The sequence below is a fragment of the Homo sapiens genome, chromosome 21 (genome assembly GCF_000001405.40).
Source record: "Homo sapiens chromosome 21, GRCh38.p14 Primary Assembly".
NCBI classification, from domain to species: Eukaryota; Metazoa; Chordata; class Mammalia; order Primates; family Hominidae; genus Homo; species Homo sapiens.
In genome coordinates, this window is record NC_000021.9 from 19551472 (window position 1) to 19559413 (window position 7942).

General features: G+C 35.4%; 2 annotated features.

Annotated features, from left to right (window-relative positions):
• Window positions 2298–2867: an enhancer, noted in NCBI's record as "OCT4-NANOG hESC enhancer chr21:20926083-20926652 (GRCh37/hg19 assembly coordinates)". NCBI's record gives its function as "activates a minimal SCP1, AML or CMV promoter by ChIP-STARR-seq in primed H9 embryonic stem cells {active_cell/tissue: H9 hESC(primed)}" and the evidence as "EXISTENCE:reporter gene assay evidence [ECO:0000049][PMID:30033119]".
• Window positions 2868–3436: an enhancer, noted in NCBI's record as "OCT4-NANOG hESC enhancer chr21:20926653-20927221 (GRCh37/hg19 assembly coordinates)". NCBI's record gives its function as "activates a minimal SCP1, AML or CMV promoter by ChIP-STARR-seq in naive and primed H9 embryonic stem cells {active_cell/tissue: H9 hESC(naive and primed)}" and the evidence as "EXISTENCE:reporter gene assay evidence [ECO:0000049][PMID:30033119]".

Below are 7942 nucleotides of genomic sequence, written 5' to 3' on the forward strand. Positions count from 1 at the left end.
AAAATTATGACAGTGAGAGAAGTCTGACATAGCTGGCTCCATCTTGCCTCTAACCTCCAAGCTGTCCTTGTTCATTCCTGAGCATAGGCCAAGCTAGCTATGGGAGAAATTTAGTTTATAGGTTAACTTTAAAGCAAAGATGATAAAAGATTCTGTCCAAGACTGACCCTCTCCTTGCCTGGAGACCAAAACTGCCTTTGTAAAACTAACAAATTAGCCACAAGGTTAAGATTATGTATCAGGAGTCATGTAACCAGAGGTCACGTGGATTGTAACCTCCCCAATTGCTCCCATAAATAACATCATTATTGTAAAATCTAAGATTAGTATTTGAGGTATTTTTCGGACCCTGCATTCTGATGGACCAGGTAGCACCACCGCGACCAGTAATCCATCCAAGAAACTGGCTCATCTGGTCTTGTGACCCTCACCCAGGCTAAGCACAAGAAGAAAGCTTCAACCCCCTATGATTTCATCCCTGGCCCAACCAATCAGCATTGCTCCTTTCCTGGCCTCCTTCCCCAAAAACTCTGAGCTTTTGGGGAAGCAGATTTGAGAAATGTCTCCTGTCCTGTCACTCGTCTGGCCCTGCAATTATTAAACTTCTTCTCTTCTGCAATCTTGCTGTCTCAGTGAATTGGTTTTATCTGTGCAGTAAAGAAGAACCTGTTGGATGATTACGATGAAACTTTAGTATGTGAGTGTGTTTTATTTCAATCCTGACTAATTTAACGATTGCATTTGACTCTTATTGTGTGAGATGCACAGACTTCTCATTCTGTACTTGCCTTAGTTTCATCTCCTATAGGATGGAAATAAAATTCACCAGAAAAAAGCTACCCTAAAGGCAGAGTATCATGATCAAAAAGTATCTACAACAGAGTGGAAACTAAATAAACATTACTTATTATTAAATTAATATTTTTATAGCTACCTTGGCATATTGGAAAATTCTTTTCTCCACTCATTAAGGACTATCCTGAATCTTTACTTGAATAAGATTAAATAAACTTGATCTAAACTTTTACAGCCTCTGTTTTTTTCATTTTAGGAAGGATAAAGTGTAAGCCCAGGTTTGGATAGAAACAACAGAAATAAAATAAAAATGTAAACACTGCCTGTTGTAAATTATCTGATTTTTTTTAGGCTATAAATAAAGTCAACATTGATAAATTTCAATGTAATTATAGTTTCTTTCTTAATCTTAGGTCTGGTGTTGAATTATCAAATCATTACTTTTGTAAAGACTGTCTGAAGGTAAAAGATAGTAAGATTAAAGGGTATTAAATATTCTTGTGCCTCATACTCCAAGAAGATGAGGCCATCAATCTTTTAATCAAGTTTATAATTGCATCTTATTTCTGGTTTAGTCATCTTTGTTAGGAATTCATGTTTTACCTTTCATAGTTTACTGGCTTCTTTACTCTAGAATGTTATCATCTCTCTTTTCTCTAAATAATTTTAAGGAAATAATTCTGTCCCTGACGTACCCTTGTTAATATTGCTTTCCCCCATCTCTAATGAAGTAACTTGCATATTTGCCTGTTTATAAACTAAATACTCTCCATTCAATCAGATTTGAATATATTCATTTAGAGTTTTATTTGTGTTTTAATTCTCTATAATAAACTAATTTCCACTCTGCAATTAATCTAGCACTTTAAGTCACTAAACATATCTCTGAATATCGGTAAATTTTGGCAATATGGGAGCATTTTAAAATTTATCATTTTATGCAAAATGTAATTGTTAATTAAATAGAAGTAGAGATGAAAACAATATGTATTTTATTTAAAAGTATGTTTGGACACACACACATACACACACATACACAATCAAGAGAAGCTTAACCAAGTATGTATCATATAGGTTATAAATATTTGTAAATTCTAAGGTTTTACTGGTTAAAATACAGTAGCCCTTCTCAGTGATTTACTGGCTATATGGAAGAAAGGCACAACATTCACACATCTATAGTAATGCCTGTTTTGGGAATGGGACTAAGCACAACAGATAGGGGGAGTGTCTCTCATTCTCCATGGAACCTCTGGGTTGGTTTCCATATGGCATAAATACGTAATTGAACTCATCTTCGTTTGCCTTACACCTGTTAATAAAGTCTTTGACACCTCAGGGAAAATTGAAGTATTGGTATTTTATTCTTTGGAAATTAATTTCTTATTCATTTAGGGCAGACATAATCTTGGCACATCTAATCTTGCTGGTGTACTCAACTAAATAGAGTTCAATGGTTAAAAGTTTTTCATAGCCGAATTACATGTTCATTCAATAAGGAGTGTTTCATTGCAGAGCACATGGTTATGAGTAGCAAGTATGGGGTAAAAGCAAAGGGAAATCTGCATTGTGTGTGCTTATTCCTGTGTTGAGTATTCTTACAGAGAATGCTCTATTATGGTGTCTTTTCTCTGATTAGGAAGCCTGTTTTTTCAGTTCAAAAGCCCCCTGTGATTTGAGAGTGCAAGGAAAGCATACACTGGTGAAGTGACTTGCCAGACCATTGAAGTTGAATTTAAGCATGCAAGGCAACACTGGAGAGAGTGGAGCTGCTCTAGTCTGCAAAGATATCTATATGCTCTGAGCTGGTAGGAGGTACAGTGAAGTGATGGCAGAACCATGGGGTAGCTTTGATTCACAATAAGATACTGCCTCTTTTAGAATGAAAAGCCACCTGTTGTTTGTCAAAAGGTACTACTTACTGATTATTGCTTTACATACTAATGCAAAGAACTCTTGGAGGTAGTCTCTTGTGCAGATGCTGAAAGTCAGTCTTTCACCTGTCTCCAGTAGGTTAAACTTAACAAAAAAAAATGTTTTGTACAGCAAGTAGAGAATGCTTCTTTCTTTAAAGAAATCAGAGCCTTCTGCTGGGGGCAATGAAGGGGTGAGGCTACAGGGAGTACTGAGTTGCTTAATGCCAAGCACAGAAAAATGCTAATAAGACTCATGCTGAGAAAAGCTCTCACTCATCAGGGTGCATCATTGCAGACATTAAGCTGAGACTGTGAATTGCTATTAGCCAAAACTGGAGAAAGACTAACGAGAATAGTGCCAGAAAATACTTCGTGGCACTGTTTGAATTGCTGTCTGAGGCAGGAGGTTTGTTGTATTGTTTTTGAAATGATTTGCTTAGCAAAAATTACCTGGTTACTAGGTAAATCTATCAGTATATGATCGAGGAACACTTATATTAACGTCATTTACTGATAAATAAGAAATACTAAATAACAATTACATGATGTGTTTAATAATCAAATGTATAAATTGCAAGCACATTATTTATATGCATAATACTCTAGTGTTTGTTGTATGAGACTTGAATCTCAATTAAATGATGTTAATATGAGACCATAAAAAGTCTGAAAAGAGGCATTCACTGTCTTTTCAAAATAAATTTTATATGAGAACATAAAGAAAACCCATCTCTTCCCTCATTTTTTGCCAGTATGGCAACAAATAGCCTGCATAACTGAGGCAATTTGCAAACTGGTAGACCCTCTATCATTGTGTTTTATGAGAAAAAAAAAAGATAATAGCAGAGTATGCACCAATTCAGAATTAACTGGATTGAATGCTGATAATTGTATGATTCTTTTTATTCTTACCCTGTTGTTTGGCTTATGCATCTCTGTTCAAGTCCATGTGGAAGACAGCTTGAGGTGCATGATCAATAAAATGTTGGAGGACATTGAACACAGTAGATTTCCTGGTGATGTTTAAGAGGGAGGAGTTAAGGTGTGCTAATGAGCATAGTTCATGTTAATTGCCAGCACCTATTGGAATTATCTGTTAGAAATATAAAACTATTTTCCCTTGCTTTATCTATAAAAGATCCTGACTTAAACATGCCTTCCAGTGCAGCCAAGTAGAAATTCATAAAGAGAATTATGATTTTTTTAAATAAATGAAATTTATTTAAAATTCCACAATTCATTAAAATCTCAGATCTATAATAATTTATGTACCCTATGTATATACAGGGATTTAACTTTCTCCCTCACCAATTTGACAGTTCAGAAATTGAAAGAACACTCTAAGATTTGTATATGTGTATGTGTGTGCAAAATAGTGCTCTGAAACAGTCCTGTCTGGGAAAATTTTCTGATAACCAATATTAGATTTTCTAGTTCTCAGTTATATCTCTTCCCTCTATATTGTTCTGTAAACTAAAAACTATCTAAGACAGGTCTCAATCAATTTAGAAGTTTATTTTGCTAAGGCTAAGGATTTCCCCTGAAGAAATAAAGATGGAATCACATAAACAGTCTGTGGTCTGTGCCTTTCTCCAAAGATAACTTTGAGGGCTTCAATATTTAAAGGAGAAAAGTGAGCTGAAGGGGAAAGAGAGAGGGCATAATAATCCACATATTGCAAGAGAAAAGAAGCAGATAAGGGAAGAGTCAATTATGTATTCTTCTGGCACTCAGTAGAGCAGCATTTTACACAAAATAAGGTGAACATACAGTAGCTATCTGTGGACATATTTAACATTTTATCTGTAGCTATCTGCTTAGGAATAAAAGGAAAAGCAGCTTCTTGCATGACGCAACCATCAGCTTAATTTTTTCTTTTGGCATGGTGAACTGGGGTCCCAAGTTTTATTTTCCTTTTACATTCCATATCAATTGAGAAAACTTAAGAGTCAGATCAGAAGTGGTTTTGTTCACATAGGTAATGGAAAATTTTCCCTCCACCCTCCAAGCATTTGATAATAGGGTTGCTGAAATAAACTGAGTAGGCAGACAAGAAAATTTATCATGTATATGGGGGCATTACATGAAAGAAAACCAAATACCCCAAACTGAATATGATCTAGAAGCTTAAATACCTACTTCCTAAGAGAAAAAGAGATGGGAATATGTAAACAAGTAAGGAGAAAGCAAATAATTTTGAAGAAAGATGAGTAGGCCCTCAGAATAATAGGTAACAGCCTGTGACATAGTTTGTCTGGGAGTATTGTTGACTCCCGGTACTTTTTTTCCTGGGATAGAAGTCAATCTTCCTGGGTTATTGTATTAGTCCGTTCTCATGCTGCAAATAAAGTCATACCCGAGACCATGTAATTTACTTAAAAAAAAAAAGAGGCTTAATGGATTCACAGTCCCACATGTTCGCTGGGGAGGCCTCACAATTACGGTGGAAGGCAAATTGGGAGCAAAGGCACGTCTTAACATGGCAGCAGGCAAGAGAGTCTGCAGGGGAACTGCCCTTTATAAAACCATCAGAACTCATGAGACCTATTCAGTATCACAAGAAAAGCATGGGAAAAACCCACCCCCATGATTCAATTACCTCCCACCAGGTCCCTCCCAGAACACGGGGAGATTATGGGAGCTACAATTCAAGATGAGATTTGGGTGAGGACACAGCCAAACCATATCACTTATAAAATTCCTGGAGAGGAGATTGATGATAATTGAGTTCCCTTTGGAGGATCTGTTCCTAGGCAGACAAAGGAAGTTCAGAGAAAGCCCCTTTCTGAATTTGCTTTTCTTCAAATGCCATCAGTTTGAAATAATCAGCATACCAAAGCTGGATAATTTTGGGTAACATTTCCTGAACTACTTCATCCAGAAGAAAATTTTAACTTCAATTTCCCACCTAAATTAACTTACCCACCACAAACTATTGATATATATATATATACTCCTAAAAGAACAATTTCACCGGGCACATGCTGAAAACCACAAGGTAGTCTTTACAGTCAAGACCGTTGCAATTAACAGTCAGGACTAGTGCAGTAGCGAGAAAGGTTGAACTCAGACCTGAAAAATAGGTGGCTGAAAGAGAAAGTAAGAGGATTTTTAAAGGTTAAGATAAGCTGGTAGAGAAATACTGACGATATTCAGGGGGAGGGTGGTTAATGTGATTAAGTGCTCTGTGTTTGGTAATTGCTGTCTACCTAAGTTAGTCTCCTAACCTCCCACAGGGACTGGGAAACAGAGTCCCTGTCTTTCTTGATGTTACATTTCAATGGATCCCACTTCAATGTGAAAGACATTCTTGGATTGTAGAATTAAATCTTAAAGACCAGAGAAATATTTTACAACTGCATATTTTCTAAAGTAAACACTCAAAGGAAAAGGGAGATCTTTTCAAGAGCCTAGTTAAGCCAAGAGGAGTCTTAAAGCTGTCTTGGTCTGATGCAGGTGAAGTGGAAAGAATATGGGCACATACACACAGAACACAGACCACAGACAGCCGATCTTGGTAAGACATACACATACACACAGAACACAGACCACAGACAGCCAGTCTTGATAAGGAGGCAACAATCGTGATATTTGGGCTCCTTCTGTCGAGTCTATTAGCTCACGAAGGCCATTCTTACTCTTACAGAGAAGAAAGCAAAGTAATATGAGTGGAAAGAAAGATCAGAAATGTTCTGTGCAAAACTGTTTCCATTTGGAGAATATGCAAAGTCCCTATCACCTTAAAAAGACAAGAAAACATGGGTATTATTACTTACTTGTAATTCTAGACCACAATCAAAGAAGGTGGTACTAGAACTTGTTCAGGGAAAGCATCTGTATCCTAAGAGAATCTCTATAAATTGGCGAGTGAGTCATCTAATGTCACTCCAGATTGATTTTATGACTATTATACAACCCTAACACGCTGCAAAATGCAATTTATGTTCTCTTGTTGCCCAATAATTTAACATCACTTTCTTAAAAAATTATCAATAGAATATCTGATATTATTTATTTATTTATTTATTTTTGAGATGGAGTCTCACTCTGTCACCCAGGCTACAGTGTAGTGGCACGATCTCGGCTGACTGCAACCTCCGCCTCCCAGGTTCAAGTGATTCTCTTGCCTCAGCCTCCCAAGTAGCTGGGATTACAGGTGCCCACCACCATACCTGGCTAATTTTTGTATTTTTAGTAGAGACAGGGTTTCACCATATTGCCCAGGCATGTCTTGAACTCCTGATGTCAAGTGATCCACCCACCTCATCCTCCCAAAGTGCTGGGAATACAGGTGTGAGCTACCATTCCTAGCCGAAATTTCTAATATAACTTATTTATGGTCAGATAATATACTTGATTTCAGTTCTTTTAAGTACATTGAGTCTCATTTTATTACAAATAATATAGTTTATCTTGGTAAATCTTCCATGTGCCCTTGAAAAGAATGTATATTCTGCTGCTATTATGTGTAATATTTCAGAAAAATCAATTAGGTCAATATAGGTGATAGTGTGTAACAAGTTATATAATCTGTATTGATTTTCTTTTTATTTGATTTATTAGTCATTGAGAGGGGAATACTGAAATATCCAACTATAATTGTGGATTTCTCTCTTTTTCCATTGAAATCTACCAGTTTTTGCTTCATATATTTCAAAACTCTATTAAAAGGTGCATTTACATTTAGAATTGTGATATCTTCTTCAAGAATTGACACCTTTATTATTATAATATTAATCTTTTTGTCTGTGATAATATTCATTCTTCCGAAATCTATTTTCTTTGATATTAGTATATCCACTCTGATTTTTTTGATGTTTGCGTACTATATCTTTTTCAAGGTTTTAACTTTAACTAACATTGTCTTCATATTTTAAAGTAGGTTTCTCTTAAACAGTATTTAGTTGGGTTGTACTTAAAAAAAAACTCCAATTTGACAGTTTATACCTGTTAATGAAAGTTTTTAGATCATTTTTATATAGAATATAAAATCAGATAAGGTTGATTTAAATTGGACATCTTACTATATGTTTTCTTTTTGTTCTATTTGTTCTTTCATTATATTTTTCTTTTTCTGCTTTTGGATTAATAGAATAATTTTTATGATTTTATTTTATCTCCCTTATTGGGCTTTGTTTAATAGCTATATTATATTCCTTTTATACTGTTCACCATAGTGTTTATAATATACATTTATAACTTCTCAGTGTATTTCAAAATAATATTATACC